At 39.7% G+C, this 27,216-nt stretch overlaps 1 long non-coding RNA gene and 1 pseudogene across 1 annotated transcript; one reads left to right on the top strand and one right to left on the bottom strand.

The window, feature by feature from the left end:
- Positions 62-26,297, bottom strand: LOC105371775 (uncharacterized). The gene is made up of 4 exons (XR_934751.2): positions 26,181-26,297; positions 10,466-10,646; positions 6,955-7,083; positions 62-446 (listed from the first exon to the last, which is right to left on the bottom strand). It is a non-coding gene; the product is annotated as an uncharacterized LOC105371775 (long non-coding RNA).
- Positions 8,542-10,864, top strand: KRT224P (keratin 224, pseudogene; annotated as a pseudogene).
- Positions 26,298-27,216: the final 919 nt, after the last annotated feature.

The following is a 27,216-nucleotide window of genomic DNA, read 5'->3' as shown; positions in this document are numbered from 1 at the left end:
CATTCTTTATATCTTACTGTTGTAACTGAGCGAGTTATAGAGAAATGACACACTCTGAGACTAATTCAGGAGTCCTTTTATTGCCGGCGAACAAGACGGCTAGAGCTCAAAATTCTCTCGGCCCCGAAGAAGGGGCTAGATTTCTTTTTATATCGTGGTCTAAATAGGGGAGAGGGAGTTTAGCTGAAGCAATTTTTACAGAAGCAGAACAGGCAAACCAATTAAGAAAGATTAATTGGTTACAGAAACAGTTACAGAAAAGTAAACAGTTCCAGGTGCAGGGGCTCAAACTATCACAAAGAGATAATGCAGGGGCTTTGGGTGCCATCCCCCAAGCGCGTCCTCAGGAACTGCTGATTTAGCTTGCCTCGATATCTCATCAGTAAGCGCATTCCTGGATGTGCTCGGAGTCAGCTTGCACTACTTATGCCTTTAAGGGAGGGGAGCTGCAAGTGAAGAAACAAAAATGGAGTCTGTCCGGCTCTCTCAGCTAAGAGAGACAATCAGGTTAAAACGAGGTAGGGTATCACATTACCTTCTTTATACAATTCAGATTATAGTCATTTTTTTAATGTGGGCATTTTTAATGGCATCACATAAGAACTCAGTGGCATGATAGCTGAAATTAGACTACCGTGTCAACGGCTTAGCCCACAAAGAAGGATGTGATTATTTTAATAATCAACTTATAATTAATGTCTAGTTTATATATGTCCATCACTGAACTCGATATTTTATAAGATAAAAAAGAAACTCAAAATCTCCCTCCTACTTCAAAAAGCTCACATTTCAGCAGAGAAGAAGAGCTAAAACACAAAGAAGACAGCAAGCAATAAAAAGCTGTTAATAGTAAAGACTTGATTTCACAATCTGCATCAGAAGTGACATAGGAATCAGACATGTGTGTTTACAGGACATTTAGGACAGGGGCCAAAAAAGAGTCTTGGGAAATAAGATTGGCTATGTGATATGGCAATCTGATTTCCTGAAACCTTGAAAGCCCCAAAGAGAAGAGATCCTCAGGCACTTGTTCCCCTGCCAAATCTAGCCACATCTTTAGCCAAAACCTGCCACTTCGCCAAGCTGGTGTTTCTTTTCCCCAGTCTCCACTGCTAAGATCTTTCATCCCGTTGGTGGTCATAGCCCTATTCTTTCATTTCTACAGTATCCCTGAGGCCACATGGCTTTGTCTTGTCTTGTTTGGGATGATGAAACCTGTTAAGATTGGGTAGGAGGTGGTACGGGCCCCAGGAAGAACCAGGCATAGCACCAACCCAGGCTGGCTAAGGGCTTTCTCAATCAAGGAATTTAATATGCCCATATCACAAATTAGAGAATCAACTCTACAAGCCAGTCCTCAAGGAAAGAACACGGGACGTGGCATAAAAAGCCAAATGTAAAGTTATAAAAGGACAAATCTGAACATGTATCTTCCAATATAAAACCAATTAAGAATTGTGTGAGCATATCAAACCTATCATCAAAACATGTAGTTTTTCATCTTCTGGGCACATTGAATAAAACTTAAAATGAACCTCTGGGTACATTATGACTTCTGCTTAAATAGCTAACCACAGAATAAGGTTAATAGCTAACCACAGAATAAACATTAAACCACTACTCAAAGAAAAAGAGCAATGTTAAGTTGCTTAAGTCAAAGCTGTTTTCCACCATCAAATCATTACAATAAATAAAACCCTGAATGCTTCTTCTCTGCTGAAATACTAAAAGTCTGAACCAGCTCATCCAACTGGATTCATAGCTCAAGAGCAGAAATGGAAATCTGCCGTAAGCAGCCTGCAGAACCTAAGCCATCCCGGCCACATCAGCGAAGCCTCTCTCTGTGGGTCTTCTCAAGTCTAACCTTCTAGCTGTGGATTTTGGCCACCTGAGACCTATGTTCATGGCTAGTACTATTTTCATGTCAAGGCAAAAGTATAAGGCTACTCTGAAAGTCATCTCGAGGTGAAAACCCTCATCTGTTCTTCCTTGTCATGCGTTAAGATGCTGCGTTTGTACTGAATGATTGTTTACAAATATAGAAAAGGCCCAATCATAGACACCAGAACACTGAGACACAATAGAATGTGTTGTTAAGGGCATGTTCAATTTTGAAAACTGAAACTATTCAACCATTTTGGATCATAAAACGTATTTACAGTGCTGAATAAAAAGTTAAGGACATGGTGTTCATACATTATTACTTGCCTTAAAATTATTTTAAAACTCTACAATAGGAATATGTTTATTGTGAGACCCTAAAGTTCAGCTCTCCAGGCAATTTTTTTGCTTTGTTTTGTTACAGGGTCTCGCTCTGTTGCCCAGGCTGGAGTGTAGTGGTGCCATCTCGATTCACCTGCAGCCTCAACTTCCTGGGCTCAAGCAATCCTCCCACCTCAGCCTCCTGAGTAGCTGCAGGCAACCATGCCCAGCTAATTTTGTTTATTTTTTGTAGAGATGGAGTTTCACTATGTTGCCCAGGCTGGTCTCAAACTCCTGGGCTCAAGCAATCCTCCCACCTCGGCCTTCCAAAGGGCTGGGGTTATAGGCATGAACGACTGCATTCAGCCTCAACTTTTGAATGAGAGGAACACATTTCTTTTTTCTAAGAGTGGATTTACTGTAAGAAGGGAGAGCTCATGCCCACATGCACATGGGCTTTCTTTTTTGTTTGTTTGTTTTTTTTGAGACAGAGTCTCTCGCTTGTCGCCCAGGCTGGAGTGCAGCGGCGCGATCTCGCCTCCACCTCCCAGGTTCAAGCGATTCTCCTGCCTCAGCCTCCTGAGTAGCTGGGATTACAGGCACGCGCCACCAAGCCCAGCTAATTTTTGTATTTTTAGTAGAGACGGGGTTTCACCATGTTGGCCAGGCTGGTCTCGAACTCCTGACCTTGGGATCCGCCCACCTCGGCCTCCCAAAGTGCTGGGATTACAGGCGTGAGCCACCGCACCCAGCCTCGCACATGGGTTTTCACCCGTTGACTTTTAATCCAGAGATTCACAGGGTTGTTTTTTCTTTCTCACCTCAGGGAAGTATACACAAGAATGATGAGAATGGTCGACGTGGCATCCATCCTCACAGAGATGACAAACAAGAAACAAGGTTCACAGCAGGCAGCTCAGAGTAAACGGCTAAAGTATTTGAAGCTCTAAGGAAAGTGGCCTAAACTGGCTTGACGACTTCGTGGAATTAGACAGTGTTCACCCAGGAGGAGACAAACTGGTGAATATAAATCACCCAAAATGAAGCTCAAGTAATATTATCCACACAACCTCCTCAAGGAACAAAATACTACAAGTAATAAACCACTTTAAAAACTTTTCAGTGGCTGAGATATGACACTTGGGTAACAGAAAATATTGATCAAGCCCTTCTGAAAACAAAGTACTCATTTGTAATATCAATGTCAATATGAAATGATAATGCAGGAAAGAAGCAAATGTTAATAGTTCAACCACTTTTTTAAAAGTTAGCACTTAAATAGCAGGTAAGGGACAAGCCCAGAGGTATCCTGTGTACAAAGCTTGGACTTCCAGAGAGGGGGCATGATGAAGTTATTTTGCTGACAGAACCACAAGGAACATGAAGCTTATAACATGTGCTTTGTTATAAGCACATGCGAGCTTATAACAAAATTGCGATAGGATGTGCATTGCATGCCTCAGTCACCCAGGCTGGAGTGCAGTGGTGCAATCACAGCTCACTGCTGCCTAGACCTCCTGAGCTCAAGCGATCCTCCCACCTCAGCCCCCTGAGTAGCTGGGACTACAGGTGTGCTCCACCATGCCCAGCTAATTTTTGTATTTTTTGTAGAGATGGGGTTTTGCTGGGATTACGGGAGTGGCTCACACCTGTAATCTCAGCACTTTGGGAGGCTGAGGCGGGAGGATCACTTGAGCCCAGGAGTTTGAGACCAGCCTGAGCAACATAGTAGGATCCTATCTCTACAAAAAAATACAAAAATTAGCTGGTACTGGTGGCATGTGCCTGTAGTCCCAGCTACTCAGGAGGCTAAGGCAGGAGAATCGCTTGAGCCCAGGAGGTTGAGGCTGCTATGAGCTGTGATGGCACCACTGCACTCCAGCCTGGGTGACAGAGTGAGACCTGGTCTCAAAAAGAAAAAAAAAAATTAGAGAAAGTGTAGCTCTATGTGGTTCCACCTGTGATGTAAAAGCATTACAATAAATTAATGTCTATAATTAACCTATGTAGATGTTTCTATAATAAGTGATGTCGAGCAGAATAACTTTTTGAGCAATCCAAAGGAGAAAAAACAGGAGGGCAAAAGGAATTTATATTTCATAAGCACGTGTTATGTATATAAACACTTTGTATCTATGTTTACATTTTATTTCACTTAATCCACAAACTCTCTGATGTAGGTATTACTGTTCCCATTTTATAGATGAAGAAAATAAAGCTGGGAGAGGTCATTTATTTAAAGGCCTCTCCCTTTAAATAAAGTGGAAAAATTACAAGTTAAAGCTCCATCTCCTAATTCCATGAGCTAGAATTCTACTCTACCAAAATAAGTGAAGTTCTGTAGTTTCATATCCTAGACTCACCAAGTGGCCTATTTCTGTGAGAGGTACCCCCCAAAAGTACTTTTTTTTTTTCATTTTTCCAAAACTGCTTCTCCCTCGCCTAAACAGGGAGGCTTCAAAATTTCCAGAACAGTTTTCTATCTATGTAGACAGGAGAAACCTGTTGACATTGGAGACCAGAAGAACTAAAAAAGATACCCATTGGTCTGAGTTCAGATATAAAGCAGGCTACCACATGGCCCTTTGGCCACTAAAACTGAAGCTGGATTTCAAGTTAAGGGCAAAACCAGGGGAAGACCAGCTTTCTAAGCAGGACAGGAGCATCTTGAAATGAGCTTCATAATCTCACAGTAGTAGCAACTGGAGGAAACTATTTCATTGAAAACCAATTTTTTAAAAATAAAAATAGAGACAGGGTCTCAATATGTTGCCCAGGCTGGTCTCCAACTCCTGGCCTGAAGTGATCCTCCTGCCTCAGCCTCCCAAAGTGCCGACATTACAGGCATGAGCCACCACGCCTGGCCAAAAACCAACTTTATATGTGCAGAAAGTACATATGATATGTAATTCTAAGCAAGAGCCATTCTAAAATTTTTATAACAATAAGGTGGTGAGGTGATCCTCTGCAAAGAATTTTATTAAAAAATTAACATATATTTTGAGAAATGTAATCACATTTCCAAGCATCCTCTCTCATCCTTGAAAACCCTCTACTTGTGCAATTCATAACTGAAATGATTAATGCCCAGAATTTACTGACCTGTGGAAAGAGCTTTTCCATAACTATCACAACTTTTGTTAATTAATTCTAACACTTTCATCTTTAGACACACTCTGCTTTTAGCTTGCAGGTGTCTGTAAATAAATTGCTTCGTATGATCTTTATTAATTTTAAATAAATTGCTTCATGTGATTTTTTATTAGTTTGACTAAGACCAAGACACTAGACTTTTAAATCTCCATGATGGGTTTTATGCAAATGAGGGCTTTGTTACACCGATTCAAGATGAGGTAACTTTGCTTGCCCCACTGGCTGTTCCACATCCAAATTTTCTATGAAGATTCAATATCATTGCTTTGTGATTTCTATTACAATCATAGCAACATAAAATTCCCAGAATGTTAAAGAGTTGGGTGGTGACTTTTATTCCAACCTCCCACCCAGAACAGAAATTGTCCCTGAAAGATTATTCTAGGTCTTCAGTCTGTGGCTGAAGGTCCCTGGAGCTTGGAAAGATCATGACTTTGTAAGGCAGTCCATTTCATTTAAGAACAGGTGTAATGTTAGAAATGTCTTCGTTTCCAAATCTGTCTCCCTGTGTAACTTCCAGCTCTTTGATTCTGGTTTAGCCCTTTAGAGCTATTTTCAAATGGCCATTGTGTCTCCTCTTTTCTAGACAAAAATCCTAATTTCTTTAGCCATGCCTCATTTGGCATTGTTTCCATACTCTTCATTATATGGGCCAGGTGTTTCGGATGTAGTTAACATATTTGCTATTAAATATTCTCTCTAGAATATGACATGCAAAACTAAACAGAAGGGCCAAGAGCTGGGGGAAGACGACCTCTGGGCTTTGTAAATTTTTTAATATTGTCTAACAGCAGCAGCCACATCACATTCACAGCACTGTTGAGCTGGAACTTTGGCAGAGAAACTTTATTCTTCATCTGATGTTTTCTTGTGTTAATTCACAGAACTGCATTTTTTTAATTCTACTTATTTTACCAAAGCTTTTTTGTCTTACTTATTTGCGGTCATTATGTCAGCCTGAAAGATCTTTAAATATATTTCCTAGTCTCTCATTTAACGTATTAAATATATTTTGTGTCATTAAAAAAAAGCAAAAGCAACAGAACTAAAATACAAGTAGCATCCACCAATAGCCCCACACTTGCCAATAACAATATCAGCTTGATATATAAGTTTCCTAAATTTGTCATTGGAATATTTTTTCTAAGAATGAGTGTTAAGTTGTTTCAATTTTAACAAAAGTGTTAAAAAATATATTTATTTAGTGACTAGGATGTTCGAAGCCATAGGGATAAACTCAGACTCTCCAATAAAGTAAAATGAAGCAAAAGCCATTCAGAGAAAGAACATCAACTCACACCACGTTTGTTTTTACCAAAAAATATTGTCTAACACCTTTCATTAAAGATTGATTGATTGACGAACGATAGATAGAAACATCCTTCATCAACCTCTGGGTTTATCTCACTGCACTGACAACAAACATGAAGAAAAATGCATTTGGTAATATAGAAATCATGGGGGACTGGGTGCAGTGGCTCACTCCTATAACCCAGCACTTTGGGAGGCCAAGGTGGGCGGATCACCTGAGGTCAGGAGTTCGAGACCAGTCTGGCCAACATGCTGAAACTCCATCTCTACTAAAAACACAAAAATTACCTGGGCATGGTGGCGGGTGCCTGCAGTCCCAGCTACTAGGGAGTCTGAGGCAGGAGAACTCCGGAGGCAGAGGTTGCAGTGAGCTGAGATCACACCATTGTACTCCAGCCTGGGCAACAGCACGAGATTCTGTCTCAAAAAAAAAAAAAAAAGAAATCATGTTTTTTTTTTTTCCTATGATTGCAAAAGGAACCGCAAAAGGAGCAAGACACAGCCACTGCAGAGGTTTACAAGAACCTGGAGAAACTTACAAGTTTGCTATTTAACATTAAATCCACCCACAAAACTCTATTATGTCAGTTCCTCCATTCTTCTTTAACTCTCTTGGGCAGGGGAGAGGTCATATACTTTCATAAGATAAGGGGAAAAAGTTAGACATCATTAGCTATTTCAAAATTCCAAGACAGGCTTTAATAAATTTAAATTTTTATTTTCTTAGAATCAATCAAATTCAAGAAAAAAATAGAAGAATGTCATTTATTTTCATATTATTTTCCTAAATTTTATTCTTAAATACTTCAAATATTTAATATACAGGATACAGAAATTAAGGATCTGCCCCTTTCTGTTACTTCTCCAGAAATCCCTAAAATTAGTTTCAAATAACTTCATCTGAAAATAAGTAATATTTATCATATCATTCCAAAGGACTTTGTGTTATAAGCATTGTGCCTATAAAAAGGTATTTTCCTTTGTGCAGAAATTCCATAAGGGAAAACACAAATTTAATTGGGCTGATATCATGTAAATATTATCTGCTTTGTCCCTCCAATATGAAATAAATACCTAAAGGCATTTTCTGCGCCTTTTAATAAAAAGATAGTCTATTGAGTTTAACAAATAATTATTGCGGCACTATTCACAATAGCAAAGACTTGGAACCAACCCAAATGTCCAACAATGATAGACTGGATTAAGAAAATGTGGCACATATACACCATGGAATACTACGCAGCCATAAAAAATGATGAGTTCATGTCCTTTGTAGGCACATGGATGAAGCTGGGAACCATCATTCTCAGCAAACTATTGCAAGGACAGAAAACCAAACACTGCATGTTCTCACTTATAGGTGGGAACTGAACAATGAGAACACATGGACACTGGAAGGGGAACATCACACACCGGGGCCTGTTGTGGAGTGGGGGAAGGTGGGAGGGAGAGCATTAGGAGATATACCTAATGCTAAATGACAAGTTAATGGGTGCAGCACACCAACATGGCACATGTATACATATGTAACAAACCTGCACATTGTGCACATGTACCCTAAAACTTACAGTATAAAAAATAAAAATAATAATAATAATTAACAAAATAATAACACTATTATATATTTCATTAAAAATATTTAAAACAATTATAGCAGAGATGAAACAGCCACATTATCAACCATAAGAGGAATTACTAATTGATGATTCCCTTACCACTCTCTCTGTTGGGCTTTGTAGAGCTAAGCTCTTCCATCAAGTCACACGCAGCCCCAAAATCTACTCTATGGCAATTAGATACTGATCATTGGAAAGAAAGAATTATAGGCAGAAATGTAACCCAGATGGAGATTTTCTACCAACTTGGGAGGAGGTGGGTGGGTTCTTCTCTGGTAAGAAGAAGGATGCAGTGTAAAATCTAGATGACCATGTTGCAGTTTCCCTGGACAAGGTCTCAACTCTGGTGCAGGCAAAGAGTACACTTGAATATAAAATCAAAGAATGGAATAAGAAATTTGAGCCTGGGCTAATGATCAAGGAGAAAAACAGGACAACAAGAAGTATTACCAGATAATTACAGAACTTAAAAACAAGGTAAGACGTTTTGCTAGACAAAGAACCACACTAAAAATGACAAAATTTGAAAAGATTGGCAATATCTTCCACATATACCTGTACTTTTCTCAATTTGGCAGATTAAGGAAGAAATTTAACAAGCAACAGAATATACTTCTTAGCTATGTTTTTTTTCCTAATTTGTTTACTTTTGTATAGTTCATTTTACGGAAAGAATTCTAGAAATGTTTCCAAAATACTTAAGAAAAAGTAAACTAAATTCCTTACAGTTCTTTTATTCTCAAAAGCAGAGGTATATGCTATTTTCCATTAAAGAACCGTATACATATAAAATTTGTTTGAAAGACCTGAAATTGACATGCCTCAACACCAGCATACAGAGGTTCAGAATGCAAGTGTATCAGACACAACTTTTTGTGTCCTGCGTTTCCAGATTTCAGATGCAAACACTGACAATGCAACTTCATGCTACAGATCGTCAGCGTAAAACTAGCAGCTGTGGACTTCAGACAAAAGTGTGATATAGTTACCCTTAGCAGCATGATGAAAAACATAAGCTATGGAGATAAGCACTAGGTAAGGCCGGGCGTGGTGGTTCACACCTATAATCCCAACACTTTGGGAGGCCGAGGCAGGCGGATCACCTGAGGTCAGGAGTTTGAGACCAGACTGACCAATATGATGAAACCCCATCTCTACTAAAAATACAAAAATTAGCCAGGCATGGTGGCATACACCTGCAATCCCAGCTACTCAGGAGGCTGAGACAGGAGAATCGCTTGAATCCGGGAGGCAGAGGTTGCAGTGAGCTGAGGCCATACCATCGCACTCCAGCCTGGGCAACAAGAGCGAAACTCCGTCTCAAAAAAAAAAAAAAAAAAAAAAAAAAAAAACACTATGTGAAGCCATGCTTCTTTTTACACTGGAATCACAGTTATAAAAGAATATTTTTCTTCTTAGAAACAGAATCCTAAACAATGGAAAAATATTTTAGTTAAAAACCTCAGGGAAGCACATTATTTACGAGAATGCTGTGCTGATTCTACGTCCGAAGGAACCACCACTTAATTTTCTTCCGTAAGTAAGAATTTCTAGTTAGGTATATTTCAAGTGAGATTTCTGAAAAGAACCAGCATGTGTTTCTGAGGATTCTTTAATTTAACTCCCTACTTTATGTGTGTGTAGAAGACCCCAACACACAAGAGGCCAACAAGGTATGGTCACTCTGTTCTAAGAAACAAAAATGCTGAAAAGGTTCTTCCCCGAAGCTTGCAGCATTTTATATGGAGTGCCATCATACTGCCAAAAATGGGGAAAGTTAATAGCAAATTATATTAACAACAAATAAGGAACAGACGTTTGGCATTTCTATAATATTCTAATAAAATATTTAAAATGCAGCATGATATTAATAATACAAACCTAACGACCACTGAAAGCATTAGAAACTTTTTCCAGGTTTGAGATTGAACTGACCCTGCGCTGGAGCGTCAAGCTGACATCAACAGTCTGCACCAAGTCCGGAATGACATGACTTTGTCCAAGATGATCTAGAAATGCAGATTGAAACCCGGCGGAGGAGTTCACTCATCTCAAAAAGAACCAGGAAGAGGTATGTGCCCATACAGCACGTCGTAACTTTCCTCTTTCTTACATAATTCCTGCCTTCAATTTGAGTCTGATGAGGTGAAGGAAAATTCTAATAAATGAAGTTATTTTCTTACCATAATGGCCGAATTCCTTGAGCGAGGGTTGTTTCCAATTCAGGAAATTAAAGGCCAGCCAGCTGTTGCAGGCTCTGAGTTGCAGGTGGAATGGGTCAGCCCACCTGGAGCTGATCTAACACAGCTCCTCATGACATGAGAATGCACTATGAAGCCATGGCCAATCACAATCACCAAGATGCTGAAATTAGATTCAACAATAAAGTAAACAAAAAACACAGCCAAGGTCAATAAATCTAGGACAATTTCGCTTCACTGATAAATGACTCTGTTTTTATTTTGGTATTTCAGAAAAGAATGCTGCAACGGCAGGTTGCCGCTGCTGCATCCAATTCTGCTAAGACTGAGACGAATGTACAGGAGCCAGCCTTGTAGGCCCTGGAGATTGAACTACAGTCTACAGTAGACTTGGTACATAAAAATCTCTCCCTGAGTGGGGCCCAGCGCGGTGGCTCACACCTGTATTCCCAGCACTTTGGGAGGCCGAGGCAGGCAGATCACTCGAGGTTGGGAGCTCGAGACCAGCCTGACCAACATGGAGAAACTCCATCTCTACTAAAAAAATACAAAATTAGCCAGGCGTGGTGGTGCATGCCTGTAATCCCAGCTACTCAGGAGGCTGAGGCAGGAGAATTGCTTGAACCCAGGAGGCAGAGGCTGCAGTGAGCCAAGATCACGCCACTGCCCTCCAGCCTGGCCAACAAGAGCGAAACTCCGTCTCAAAACAAAAACAAACAAAAAAAATCTTTCCCTGGGTGAAAACACCATAAACCAATTGCCCACACAGACAACTGCACGATTTCACATAAATTCTCAGCAATATGTTTCCAAAACATGATATTCCCTTTAAAAAGGGTTTTTTTTAGGGTTCTTAAGAAAAAGCCAAAATCTTGGGCTTTTCCAATTAGTAACTTGGACAGGAAAATTTCCATTTAATGTGTGAAAAACACCTGGAAACAAAATTATTAACTGCACATGTCAGGCCCTATTTTGCAAACACGACAGCCACTGAATTAGCTGAGATACCACAAATGTCAGCATGAACTTGCTGTTAGGGAAATGTTGGCCCACGTTCAGAATGAGATCACTGTTTCTCTCTCCAGGTAGGTGATTAGGCAGGGCTCCTGGCTGAAAGCTTAAAAGAATTAATCTAGATAAAATTCCTGCGTATAGGTCAGCTAGGATTTCATTGAATATCAAGAAGTATATATGCTCCTTTTTAAGACGATTTAACATATTTAAACTTGAATAACAGGCTGGGCGCTGTGGCTCTCTTCTATAATCCCAGCACATTGGGAGGCCGAGGGAGGCAGATCACCTGAGGTCAGGAGTTCAAGAACAGCCTGGCCACCATGGCAAAACCCTGTCTCTACTAAAAATACAAAAATTACCCAGGCTTGGTGGTGATGCCTGTAATCCCAGCTACTTGGGAGGCTGAGGCAGGAAAATCACTTGAACCCAGGAGGTGGAGGTTGCAGTGAACTGAGATCGCGCCAATGCATCGCAGCCTGGGCAACAGGACAAGACTCTGTCTCAAAGAATAAATAAATAAATAAACAAACTTGAATAGCTATGTGTCACTTTTAAAATCAATTTTTCACTTAGGAGCATTCATGATAAGAATTTATTAAGTGTCCAATGTTTCAGGAGAAGCAAAATAGGAACAAGGATGGCAGCAGCATCTTTATCTTCTGGGAATTACACTTTAGCCATAGGGAAACTTTGATCAAACTAATAATACATAAGGAAGTTGCTGTATTTTTCATTGACTTGGTAGGCCTGAGTCTCAGTCTTAGGTTGTCTCAAAGCTCACCATGTAACCTTAGATAAGTCATTCCTCTAAAAGTATCTATCTCTAAGCCTCATTTTTTTCTGCAAAGCAAGGGAGTTGGTGATTACTAAGGTACTTATCGTCTAGCTCTAAAATCTATGACTCTGCAAATAGAAACTGTTTGAATTAAAAAAAAAATCAAAGTGGCAGAATTAATGTTACAGGGAATTAAAATTAGATCAGATTCACCCTAATTCAAGCAGTTTCCTGAAACTTTTGAAATGCCTAACATCCAAATGTCAGGTTTTAAGGCAGAGTGTCTCAACCTTGGCACTCTAGACATTTTTGGTTGGATAATTCTTGGGGAGCTGTCCTGTGGGTTTATGGAAGTTTATGGCCTCTACCTAGTAGGTACCAATAGTACACCCCCTACCCCTTATTATGTCAGCCAAAAATGTCTCCAAATATTGCCAAATGAGAGTGGAAGGGAGGCACAAAATCACCTGAAAATCACTGCTCTACCTTAAGAAAGCAGGATTTTCCTACACCATAGGGATGCACTAGGTACAGAAGACAGGCATCCTGAGATACTTTCCTTCCAGTTAAATCAAAACCTCGCCCTCTTAAAACACAGCATCTGCATAGAAGATTATCTCTGTTTTACTTGAAAGAGAAGAGGTTAGAAGATGAGACAGTAACATCCATCCAGTGTATATTCCCTTCCTGCAGAGAGAATAGGAAAACTTTCTGATGCTAATCTACCCAAATGACTCTTTATTTCATCTCTTCTCTTAGGCAATCTTCGCTCCACTCTCAGAAAACAGCCCTCAAAGCCAAGCTGATGGAATCAAAGGCCAAGCGCCAGCCTCAGGTAGAGGTTAGTGCCTGGAGACCCAGCTCCTTCAAGGGCATTGCAAGACCAAGGACCAGAGCCAGGCTAAATGCAGCTGCTGAAGGTCAAGGCGTGCCTGGTGAATGAAGCTGGGACCAACCACTGCCTGCTCACAGGGCTGAGCTGGTCTGCAAGAAGCTGTGGGTATGGTAAAGAAGGAGAGTAGTTAGGACTGGGGCACGTATAGGTCTCAATGACTCCTATTTACATTTTTAGCTAACCGCAACAAGGACATACAACCAGGGCTGAACAACCTCCACAGGGTTCATTCAGTAAGGATAATTTTTTTTTAATTTTTTGAGACAGAGTCTCACTCTGTCACCCAGGCTGGAGTGCAGTGGTGCGATCTCCGCTCACTGCAACCTCCACCTCCCGGTTCAAGTGATTCTTGTGCCTCAGCTTCCCAAGTAACTGGGACCAAAGGTGCGCACTACCACACACAGCTAATTTTTTGTATTTTTAGTAGAGGCAGGGTTCCGCCATGTTGGCCAGGCTGGTCTCGAACTCCTGACCTCAAGTGATCCACCCGCCTCGGCCTCCCAAAGTGCTGGGATTACAGGTGTGAGCCACCAGTAAGGACAATTTTCAATGCCCCATTCCAGCTCTAGGAAAGCAATGACCACGGCCTCGATTTATGAACCCAGCCCCTAGTCCATGCATTACCACCGGCTACAAGGTGCACCACAAATGTTTGCCCACCTGAATTGAAATTTAGGCAGAACTGTTGTTCTGCCAGACCGTCTGTGGAAACAAGTGTATTATATCCAACATATTAGATGATAAATAGTCATTTAGGGTGGTGTAATTCAAAAACAGAACGAATAAAACATAGAAAAAGCTAAAATTCAAAGACTTCAACATAGAGCTTTTTAAAAAAAAAAATCTCAGATATTACAATTTTTATGATACCTACAACAATCAAAACCAGAGTATAAGACTATCCTATTTTTCTTTTCAGTCATAAGTTTGAAACTGGATCAAAAAGAGGAAATAAAATCAAGGATAAGTTCTAAATACAAGTTTTCTATTATTCTATTTCATTTTCTTCAGAGGAACAGCGTACTCCAAAGTCTAAAAGTGTTGTTTTTATATGAATCCAATGTTTGTATTACCCAGTTAGAGTCATAAAATCAAGACTCTGGTTGTGGAATACTTTTACTGAGACATTTGTCAAAATAGCATTGTAATTTTTTTTCTTTCAACTTACACCTAAATAAACAGTAATAAATATCTTAGAAGCTATTGCTATATCACATTTAAATGGCTTTCCTTCAACATCGTTCACCTCAAAATCAAAAGGTGGAAATGCATTTTAATCCATATTTTCTTTGAAAGGTCAAAGGAGGTGAAGAAGGAAAGGAGATAGACTGAAGAAAGATGCATAATTGAAGACAAAAAGTTAATTAAACAAGAAGGTTTCAACTTGTAGGTTAGTTTAAGGCAGTGTTTTTCAAGCTGCAGGCTGCGATCCATTTACTTATGTATGTGTGTATGTATGTATGTATGTATGTATTTATTTTTGAGACAAGGTCTCACTCTGTCACCCAGGCTGGAGTGCAGTGGTGCAATCTCTGCTTACTGCAACCTCTGCCTCCGAGGTTCAAGCCATTCTCATGCCTCAGCCTCCCAAGAAGCTGGGATTACAGGTGTACTGGGCCATGATGTAAAATGATGCCTTTGTTCTTGTGGCTTGCAGTGGGAAAAGTTACAGCCTTTACTATAGAGTTTTCTTTATTTTTCCTTTCAGTTTTTACTTGAACTTAATTGTATGAAATGGATTGTGGGCCAAGCGTGGTGGCTCATGCCTGTAATCCCAGCACTTTGGGAGGCCAAGGCAGGTGGATCACCTGAGGTCAGGAGTTCGAGACCAGCCTAGCCAACATAGTGAAACCTCGTCTCTATTAAAAATACAAAAATTAGCTGGGCATGGTGGTGCATGCCTGTAATCCCAGCTACTCGGGAGGCTGAGGCAGGAGAATCACTTGAACTCTGGAGGAGGAGGTTGCAGTGAGCCGAGATCACACCACTGCACTCCAGCCTGAGTGACAGAGTGAGACTCCATTGAAAGAAAGAAAGAAAGAAAGAAAGAAAGAAAGAAAGAAAGAAAGAAAGAAAGAAAGAAAGAAAGAGAAAGGGATTGTGAATCTGTTTGCTATTGTTCTTGATGTCACTTCCTTCTCTATGACTGAGAATTCACTGGCATTCCTAGAAGAATTCAAACCCTTCATCGTTTGTTGAGCTAATTTCACTATGATTTCACCATATGCCACTTTCTTGCCTATATCATTGCAATGCCTCTCTACATAGGACTTGCTGTATTATAACAATGATAACAAAGACAACTACCATTTTTGGAGCACCCACTATGTAAACATAATTCCCACAGCAATTCTGTAGATGGGGCATGATCCCCATTGCATAGATGAGGAAACTGAAGTTCAGCGAGGTTAAATAGCTCACCCATGATCACAAAGCTCATCTGGGACAGAGTAAGCCAGGATCAAACCTTTTGAGGTTCCAAAATTCCAAGTGATAATCTCATTCCCATTTTTCATCCTCTCAACACTTTATGAAGTGAGTACTATTATTATCCCCAGTTTACAGATAAGGACACTATAATTTTCCCAAGTTATACAGTAACTTGGGAAGAGTTAGGATTCAAACCCTGAATCAAGCAGTATGTTCTTTTTCGTGTCTGGCTTCTTTCCCTCAACACGCCGTGTGCGCGATTCGTCTGTGCTACTGATGTGGTTGTAGATCATGTTATGCCTTTAATAAACACCTGTGTTAAGTGTTGGAGATACAAAGATGTGGTCCCTCTCTCGGAGAATTTACAGTCTAGAAGGAAAAATATATGCAAACATGTAGCTAACATAAAGTATTAACTACAATTCTGACTGAATTTTATCAAAGTCACTCCAAATTTGTGAAGCTTTAGAAAAGCAAAGATTAAAATCAATGAGATTTATATGCTTATCTTTCTCACTGTTGAAAGTAGGTAGAAAAGTTAATAAGTACCCAATACGAAAGCTGTCTTACTTTTGATTAAAGAGAAATGCTTTATCAATTTACTTTATTTCCATCAATATGTAATTGACCTAACACTTTCTTTTCGCAGAACCAACGAAATGTTTTGGCACAACACAATTGTTAAAGAACTGATTGATGGCATTGTTGTTTTATCACAAATAAGAGGTGTTCACCAAAGACCAGTTTAAGGAGCACCACACAAGCTAGCCACAAAAACTAAGACAAATAAAGCACCAAGAACCATTTAACCTTGGTCACGTATATTGGATAACTGAAGCAATGTATAGAGTGAAACTTTGCAAAAGCCATGAAGACAAGGGAATGTATTTCAACAATACTCATCTTTTTACACTAGGAAAAATAAAAGCCAGCAGGATATTTAGGGAATGTTTTTGCTCATCTTCAGTAATGTCATGTGAATGCACCCATCTACATTTTGGAATTTTTTAATCTTTGTGGACTTAACAAAAATGAGTACACTTCTAATTCAGAAGGTCTAACCTTGCAGTTTTTAGCTCTGGTCTGAAGCAATCAATTTGGGTCCAGTGCTTGGCTAAGCACTCCAGACTCCAGACAGTAAACAATAAGAGACAAATATTCCCTTCTAGAAGGTACAGCCCATCTGGAGATGTGGGAGATACTCTTGAAATAATTCAATGGCATCAGAATGTCACATAGAACTAAAAGTAGTAAGTAGCACAGATGATAAGTGCCTGGGAACTCACAGATAATAATTCAATATGGGCCAAAGAGGCCAGTAAAAAACTCATGAAGCTGTGAATTAAAGCTCCAATATTATAGCATTTTACACCCACCAGCAAGTGGAAATTAAAAAGACTATACCAAGTATTAACATGAACAGGAAGCAGCTGGGGCTGGGCACAGTGGCTCATGCCTGTAATGCCAACACTTTGGGAGGCCGAGGCAGGAGGCTCACTTGAGGTCAGGAGTTTGAGACCAACCTGGGCAATGTAGTGAGATCTCCTGGAGATCTCCTGGAGACTCTTAAGAGCTTCTTTGAGGAGTACAGACTCATCTTAAGGATCACAGGGAACTCTTGAAATCTTAGGCTTTGTAGTAATCTATCAGGGGTTGCAAAAGAAAATATGCAAGGGTTGCCTAAGAAAATTAATATGCATCTGTATGCCAGATGAATTGGAGTGGTAGGGATGGAAACTAGAGATGAAGTCAGAAGGTTACTTTAGCAATTTAACAATAAATTGAAATTTTTCTGGACTGAAATAATCCCAGGAGAAGTGAAAAATCTGGGAGACAAGATTTGGCTTATTAGACCTTAAAGAGCTAAGACAGTTTAAGCAAAATTTCTAAAATTTCAAGGTGGAATAAAAGTTGGAAAGTTGGCAGGAAGAGCAGAATTAGAAGAAAAGATGATATGGCAAGCTATAGGTATACTGAGTTTGATATAACAAAGGAACACCTAACTAGAAATATACAATAAAAAAAAATCAGGCCAGGTGTGGTGGTTCACGCCTGTAATCCCAGCACTTTGGGAGGCCGAGGTGGGTGGATTACTTGAAGTCAGGAGTTTGAGACCAGCCTGGCCAACATGGCAAAACCCTATCTCTACTGAAAATACAAAAATTAGCCCAGCATGGTGGGGCATGCCTGTAATCTCAGCTACTTGGGACGCTGAGGCAGGAGAATCACTTGAACCTGAGAGGCAGAGGTTACAGTGAGCTGAGATCACACCACTCCCCTCCAGACTGGGTGGCAGAGTGAGACTCCATATCAAAAAAACAAACAAACAAAAAAAAGAACAAATGGGCAATTACACTAAAAAAAAAAAAATATATATATATATATAGCATGAAAAACACGTCTTTATTTTAATGAAAATGTATTATTCATAGCAAAATTTCTATCCACATGACAAACATTTAGAATCAGAGTGCATTTCTAAAATCACTTTACAACTAATAAAACTCTAGAAATTCAGAACTATATATGATATTTTGAGGTGTTAATTATCTCAACCGAAGAACCACAACAGGGAAGTCCTTTCTATAAGTGAGTCACACAAAAAAAATACATACATGACATATTTAGACACAAATTATGCAGTTAAGTGTGTCTTGTAGATACCCTACTCAATTTAAAAACCATGTATTGATCATTTACAACATGCAAGTACAGTAATAAGGTAACATAGCTAAATTATCAGAGGTATCAAAGAAAAAGCACACAGTTGAAAAAGTGGTGAATTCTGGTTGTTGTTTGTTTGTTTCCTCAAGCTCTAAGATTGACACTTAGGATTTCTCAAAGACAACTGAAAATGTTTTCCTAATTCTGAAACAGTACTGACTTCAATGACCATCTCTTTTGAGGTATGAGGCACAGGAGGGAGGGGAACAGGGTTGAAAAACTAACTGTTGAGTACTATGCTCAGTACCTGGGTGATGGGATTACTTGTACCCCAACCCTCAGCATCACACAATATACCCTGGTAATAAACCTGCACATGGACTCCCCTGATTCTAAAATAAAAGTTGGAAAAAAATAAAAAAGGTATGAGTCACTCGTTTTGTGGCTACTTGCAGAAGTTTCAAAGATAATGATTTTCAAAGGTAACAAAGCTTGTGACACTGGTATGTCAGCATATCATCACATTTCATTTCTGAAGTCAGCAGTGAGAGATGGCGCCAAGCCACCAGTGAGAAGAGACGTTTGAAAAAAACAATTAAGAAGGAACTGAAGCTTGATGGATTAGCATAATGAATTTTTCTGAAGGCAACAGTGTGAAAAATATTTGTAAAGGTGTGGCAGAATCTGAAATCACGAATCATCTATTCTCACCCTGACAACAGTTTTCTTTTTCATATAGGCTGGACTAAATTTCGCGAAGTTCATTAATTTTCAAATGTAATTGTTTGCAATTTAAGCCAAAAGACATCTTAAAATCTGTTAAATTTTTTAACGTGGGACAGTGATATAAGAAGCCAAAAAGAAAGAAAAGTCAAACTGGGGGGGCCAAAAAAAATAATTACCAGGAAATAAGAAGTGTTCACAAATTTCAGAACGCTTTGTCTCACCAAAGAGCATAGTATTACAAAACTACAGTCTTCAAGAAAATAGTAACTATGTTAAGTACTGAAGCAGAAAATAAGTTATGCACACTTTTATCTTACTACCAGATTATTTTTCACAGATAGCACAAAACTTATTGATTGCTAACTATCCAAATGTATGGTAATAAACTAATATAGCTTAACTATCAAAGGTATCATATAGAACCATACAGTTGAAAAAAGGATGGATTCTGTCTTAGTCGTTAACACTGAGAATTTATCAAAGAGAACTGGAAATTAATTCTTTCTTTCTTTCTTTCAAAATTGGGTCCTGCTCTGTCACCCAGGCTAGAGTGCAGTGGTGAGACCATAGCTCACTGTAACCTCAAACTCCTGGGAGCTAGGACTATAGGCATGTGCCACCATGCCTGGCTAATTTTTTTTTTTTTTTTTTTTTTTTTGGAGAGACGAGGTCTTGCCGTGTAGCCTAGGCTGGTCTCGAACTCCTGGCCTCAAGCAATCCTCCCACCTCAGCCTCCCAGAGTTCTGGGTTTACAGGTGTGAGCCACTGTGCTTGTCCTGGAAATGTTTTTCCAATTCTCAAACAGTGTTGATATCAGTGACTACCTTTTTCAAGGCATGAGTTGCTAGTCTTATGGCTATTTAAGGAGGTTTCAAAGACAATGATTTTGGGGAATAAAAACTAGTGTTTTCTCCAAGCATTCGGAATTATTTATGGAAATAGAAGTATTATATTCATGTAAAATGATATGGTCTATAGATGTAACTTAGTTGCCTTAAACTGTGTAATTGCTGGTATACCATATTAGTGTCTTTAATCTGAACACAACCTCACATCCAAGAGGAAAAGCTTATCATTCACAACAGTAATTCCTGAGTGAGCTACTCCTCTCTAATTATACAATTAGAAAGTCAAAACAAACTTGAACCTTGCAATGTATATTCCCAGAACTCAAAACATATTTTTAAGAGAATTTTAACAGTAATCAACTCCTTTTCAAGACAAGATACAAAGTCAATAAAAGATTGCCTACTTTAATATTCATTTGTTTGTTTAAAAACATTAAGCACTAAGTCTAAGGGGCTGGTGGGACGACGGAAATGGGGCAAATTTTAAAGAAATGTAAGACACGCACTCTTTGCCCTTAAGGACAATCTGGTTAAGAAGAAAACAATTACCAAGTATATTTAACCCCACTTAAAGGTGTGAGCAAATAAAATTTTGTTAATCCATATATTTTAAATACTGTGCATTTAATAGCCAAGGTCAGGTGCTATCTCTTCTGTGAAGCCAATGGGAAAATATAATTTTAAAAAAAAATTTGTACAGCCACAATTTTGTTTGTAAAATTTCTCTTTGTCAAAAACTCAACTGTACACTTCTGGAACACCAGTTTCTATGCACCCAGTAGGCTCAGAAAGGAGTCCCCGTGGATATACATGTGTGCCGCGGCTGTGCAACATGGCCCCCGGCATGACACAACAGTGAAGCAGCTGGAAGGTGCTCAAATACTCAGACTGGCTGGGAAGTTGAAAGCAAGGGAAGAAGAGAGGGATGGGGAGAGAACAGCAGCTGTCAGGGAGCAGAGCACAGCCTAGAGAAAGCTGGGGTGCTTTGCACTGGCAGCTGAAAACTAAGGAGGCAGTGGGGGCATGAAGTAAGGAGGAGACAGAAAGGGGGACGGGATGTGGAGAGCTTGCTGCTGGAGTAGGCACATTTATCCGGCCAGTTGCAGCAGTGCAGAGGGAATATTTAAGCCTGAAAATAGAGTTCAATCATTCAAGCCGTTGGGTAAAGGCAAATAATTAGCAAAAATAATACAAAAAGATACGTGAACTTTATTTAAAAACTAGAACTACGTGGTCCCTTTGATCATGATCTGCACAGGTGTCCTCAAGCTGTCCACGCAGTCTTTCTAGGGAGGCTACCAGAGTGGGTGAAAATGGAAAACTAAAGCGGGGTCCTGCATTCAAGGCATTTCAAACACGTAAAGTTAAACTAAATGTTTGATTCTGAGGACTAGACTGTTACTATTACAAGAGTTGTGCAGGGCATATATCCAAGACTGGACAGGGACCAGTCCCTGTTGTCAGAGAAACTTCACACTGAGACACAAGCTTGCTCAGGTAGGGTGGGCGTTGAAAGCCAGGAGGAGGGATTTCTGTAAACTCTTGCTTCCTCTGTCATCGGCCACCCCTTAAGTTTTCTATTTCCTGCCTCTTCCACTTTACTAATTCTGTTTCCCAGAAAACACTCCACACCATCCCCCATAAGGGTTCAAAGTCTACCATATAAATGTCTTCCCAAATGTGCTAAAATGTACCCTCCAAAAAACAATTTTTTTTTTACCTATTCTGGATATTTCATATAAGTAGAAGTATATAAGACGTGACCTTTGGGGTCCGGCTTGCATTTAGTGTAATGTTTTCAAGGTTTGTCCACCTTTTAGGATGCATCAGTACTTTACTCCCTATTATGGCTTAATAACATTGCATTGTATGTACGTAGCACATATTTGCTTGTCCATTTACCCATTGATGGAAACTTGGGTTGCTTCCCCCTTTTGGCTATGATGAATAGTGCTGCTATCCACAGAGAGCAAATTGGTGGTTTGAAGGGGCTGGGGGAATGGGAGGATAGGAAATGATTGCTTCATGGGTTGGGTTTTCTTTGGGGGTGATGAAAATAGCTTGAAGCTACACAGAGGTGTTAGTTACACAACATGGTGAGTGTACTAAATGCCAATGAACTGTACATTTTTTAATGGTTAATTTTACGTTGCGTGAATTTCACTTGGATTTTTTAAAATTAATTTCCAGGCAGACCCCCTGCCACCTGTCTAAAACAGGGTCCCATGTGTGGGTTAAACTACAAATGAGAAATGTTACATATCTTAAAATAAATTGCCTATAACATATGTATGCAGCATCCTTCATAGCCAAGGTCAGACGCTACCTCCTCCATGAAATCTGCTATGGAAATACAATTAAAAACAAAATATCCAGTCTGGCCAACATGGTGAAACCCCGTCTCTACTAAAAATACAAAAATTAGGCGTGGTGGCGGGCGCCTGTAGTCCCAGCTACTCGGGAGGCTGAGGCGGGAGAATGGCGTGAACCTGGGAGGCAGAGCTTGCAGTGAGCCGAGATTGCGCCACTGCACTCCAGCCTGGGCGACAGAGCGAGACTCCGTCTCAAAAAAAAAAAGAAAAGAAAAGAAAAGAAAATTAGTCGGGTGTGATGGTGGGCCCCTGTAGTCCCAGCTACTCAGGAGGCTGAGGCAGGAGAATCGCTTGAACCCAAGAGGCGGAGGTTGCAGTGAGCCAAGATCGCACCACTGCACTCCAGCCTGGGAGACAGAGTGAGACTCCGTCTCAAAAAAAATAAAAAATAGTAAAAAAATCTCCTAACCTAGAAATCCTCTCCACCAAGGTAAACGAGAAAGAAAATCATTTTACTATTGAATAAGCGTTAAAACAGAATGTGATGCCCGTCACAAGCAATCCACTAAGAGACTGCAAAGACAGAAAGATAGCTCTTCCTTTATATAGCCAAGCAGACACAGCCCATTACGTGGATGTTCTCAGGATGAACAACAGCTACTCTTCACATAAGAGGACTTCACAGCACCATATGTCACACACGGTTTATCCTAACTTTACCCATAATTTGGGTGACCATCTATGTTAGTTAATAGGCTTTATATACAGGGAAAGTAAACTTCTCACATCTTTATAATAGGAGGTAGCTTTGGAGCAAGGTGCCTGCCGAAATTAGGTCCTGCCCTCCCACAGAACCTGGGACACAGGGGTGTTTATTTCCTTGGATGGTCACGCTCAAAAGGCTTGATTCCCAGTCTTGAGAAAGGCATTCCTTGGTTGTAAAGTTGGCAAAAGATTTATTTTACTTTTTAAAAGATTTACTCACATTTCAAAGAGACAGCGAAAGAATTTACAAGTTTTCTAAAGTAAATGCTCGAAGAAAGGGGAGTACAGGGGTGTCTTTTCCCTTATTTTTAACAGGAAGAATTAAGTCTCTTATTTTTAATTTATGTTTGCCTTTATTTGCCTTCTCTGATCCCCTCAGGAAAAAAAAAAAAAAGGCAATTACTTCCTCTTCAGAGATGCCTTACTTGTGGCACTTCGCAATTCTACCCTGAATTGGAGCAGTGCGGCAGGGTCAGGGTCTGGTTCCTTCTGTGTCCTTCATGGTGCGAGGGACCGTGAGCCAGAGCCAACGTTGAGAGAAAGCCCTTCCTTGAGCTCATTGTTGCAATGGAAATGTTCTGTATCTTGACTGCATTGGTGTGAATACCCTGGTTGTGATATGGTCCTCTAGTTTTACAAGCTGTTGCCATCGGGGAAATTCAGTAAAGGATATGTGGGATTGCTCTGTACTGTTTCTTACAGTAACTGAATCCACAGTTACCTCAAAAGTTTAGCTAAAAATGAAAAAGGCTTTTGAATGACTAAAAACATGTGTTTATAAACCACTGAATAATGGCTATGGAACATCATAAAGTCCAGAATGCTGTACAGTCTGGGCTGAGGAGAAGAAAGCTCACAGCTGCATTCCTGGGAAGATTTGGGCAATGTTAAGGGGTGAGGGTCCAGGGAATACTGTCAGGGTGCTAAAAATTGATATGCAGGGCAGAAAGCCTGTGAGAATGACCTAAGTAGAAATTTTTTTAAACAAAATAAAAATTTTCAAAAAGAGAAAAGACAACAGAGGGAAAATTCAAGAGGCCAGGCGCAGTGGCTCACGCCTGTAATCCCAGCACTTTAGGAGACCAAGGTGGCAGATCACCTGAGGTCAGGAGTTTGAGACCAGCCTGGCCAACATGGCAAAACCCCATCTCTACTAAAAATACAAAAATTACCTGGGCATGGTGGCGGGCACCTGTAGTCCCAACTACTCGGGAGGCTGAGGCAGGAGAATCACTTGAACCCAGGAGACAGAGGTTGCAGTGAACCAAGATCACACCACTGCACTCCATCCAGCCTGGGCGACAGAGCAAGACTCCATCTACGGAAAAAAAAAAAAAAAAGAAAAAAAAAAGCAAGAAAGGATAAATGCAAGTGCAAGGAAATAAATTGTCTAGAATAAACTAAGATGCAGAGAAATGACTAAGACTAGAGTATCAGGACACAGAATAGAAGACAGCAGGGCCAATGTCGTAAGTTATAGAAAGCAGGTTTAGAAAAATCAATATTTCAAAGACAGGAAGAGCTAAGGGAACACCTGTCAAATTGGTGAAGACAATGTACTTAGAACCCAACAAAGACCTCCCTTCTAGAGATTTGAAAGGAGACGTAAATATTGTAGCTCAAGTGAGTAGATGGGAGCACAGTTTCAACCTACAACTATGACTTCAAAGATTGGGACTTAACGCACTCCAGATAAAAAAGGAATGGAGAAAATTCTGAATAGTTTTGGAAGATGCCTATAGTCTGCTAAGCTAGAAAAAAATCATGAATTGTAATACACCAAAATTGTATAAACTGGGTGTTCTAAAATGAGCTCACCCTCTATCTAGTAAAGCTCATTTTGACCATCTGTGTGTATTGGGCCTCAAAAAACAAGGTAAGAAGGAGAAGCACCTGGAAGTATCTGGAAGATGCCAGAGAAAATAGGACCCAATGGCAAAGTCCTTGATTGGCAAAACTGCCCTGCTTTTTGCCCTTGAGTTACAGCAGCAAAGAATGAAGTGAGCATCTGCCAGGACTAAGATTGCATGTATAATGTACTCTGCTTAATCAGTTCATGTGAAATGCATGTTCAGTGTGTATAGAAAGGCATGTAAGCATCTCTCACATACTCTGAAAACATGCTAAAAAATGCTGACAAACATATTCCCACACAAAACTCTTTATCGTCTAATTATAGTCTTAACTTATATATAAAACAAAAGATTAAATGATATCACGTAGAGGCCTGCTCCTATGAGTAGAAAAATCAATAATATAACAAAAAGGATATAAGCCAGTAAAGCCCTGTCATTTATAGCAATTTTTTAAGTTTTAAAAAAAAGCCTTTATTTGCTGACTAATTATGCCTTTATAATCCTATGAAAATGCATGCTTGATTAAGAAGAGGGAGTCACAAAATCCTAAGCTGCTAAAGAAATTATGCTTCATAAATAAAATAATACCCAAGCTCTTTGGGATTATAAAAGATCAATTGGAGTGTTCTGTCTAGCTGAAGAAAACAGATTCATATTTACAACTTCCTGGAAGGAAAAAAACACTTAATATAAACTTACATTGCCATCATTCTATCTTTTATACTTTTTAGAATAAAAACAGATCACAACATTTATGTGCAGGACAGGAAAAACATTAAATGGCTTGAGTTTGACATCCTTGTGTACAAGATTGATTTACAGGGTGAAATGTATGTGCCCAAATGCATTACATAAAAATAATCCATTATTTTCCTTTTTAATATTTTTTCCTCTTCAAAGCAAAACTCAAATTCTTGAGTGTGCCACATTTGTTAAGGACAAACAGGTTAGAAAAGATGTTATTTCTCCCAGAGTTTAATTCCAAACTCCCAGGAAATCACTCCATAAAAATTCACCAAGATGAATGATGGGTGCCTGTCTGATTTGCTTGTGTTTGTAAACACTACAAATTTGGGGACTATAGTGTTTTTGAGCCACTTACCATCCTTCTGGTAATTCATTTCCTTTACCTTCTTCAGGCAAATAAATTAATCTGTGCTCATTGTCTCAGGGGAGGATGAAACAAAAGCAATGTGTTCCTTCAGTCTAGTCTTAGAATGAAGAGGACTCAGGGCCCACACAAAATGTCCTAAAGAAACGTTATTCATTTGGCGCTTGTTTATTGCCTGCCTTCTCTGTGCTAGGCACAGAGCTAGAAAGTGGTGATCCAGCAGTGAGCAGACAGGTCTTGGAGCTTAGGTTCCAGTAGTAAAAGCAGGATTTTCCGTCCCACCCTCAAGAATAGAACTTACCTTGGACTGAAAGGAGAGGGAAGAAAAAAAGGATTGCTGAGGAAGGGCAAAGCGGGGTCCCTGAGAGGGGAGCCCCAGGTCCTGCTTCTGAGTCAGAGCCCCTACAAAGCAGCAAAACGGGAGGTAAGTTGGGGGAACTATTTAGGAGAACTGTGCCTTACTTCCTGGATTGTAACCTCAGGAAAGGGACAAGAGCCAAATAGGTTATGGCTGCACAGTGTGTCCGGGCAGATGGAGCCACAGTCCACCTGATATTTCCATGCCACAGGCACACAGAAGCATCAGAATGACTCTTACGCCCTTAAGCATGGAAAGAAATATGGGAGAGAGCAGCTGGACACTGCTAGGATGAAGCAAATTTAAAATAAGAGGCTTGATTCTCACTGTTGGAAACAAGGGAAGAGATTTTTCTCTCTTCCTAAATTTTCTTTGAGCATTTACTTCATCTTTTATAAAAAATAAATTGTATTGTGTATATTTAAGGTTTACAACACAATGTTATGGGATACATATACATAGTAAAATGGTTACCCTGGTGAAGCAAATTAACATATCTATCATCTCACAGTTACCTTATTGTGTGTGATGAGAGCAGCTAAAGTCTACTTACATTAAAAAAAAAAAAACCCAGTTAGCATACAATTTTATTAGCTCTAGTCCTGGTTAATAGGTTAGATCTCTAGACTTGTTCATCCTACATATCTCCTCCTTTGTATACATTGACTTCCATCTCCCCATTTCCTAACCCATCCCACCCCCACTCCTGGTAACCACTGTTTTATTCTCTGCATATTTGACTTTTTTTTCTTAGATTCCACATATAAATGAGTGCATGTAATATTTATCTTTCTGTGTCTTTCTTACTTCACTTAACATAGTGTCCTCCAGGTCCATTTATGTTGTGACAAATGTCAAGATCTCCTTTTTTAGGGTAGAATAATAGTCTATTGTGCATATATATATATATATACACACACACACACACACACACACACACACTCACCAGTTTATTTATCCATTCATTCATTGACACTTA

This window comes from Homo sapiens, chromosome 17, assembly GCF_000001405.40.
Source record: "Homo sapiens chromosome 17, GRCh38.p14 Primary Assembly".
Lineage (NCBI taxonomy): Eukaryota > Metazoa > Chordata > Mammalia > Primates > Hominidae > Homo > Homo sapiens.
This window is presented reverse-complemented; position numbering and strand designations above follow the sequence as displayed.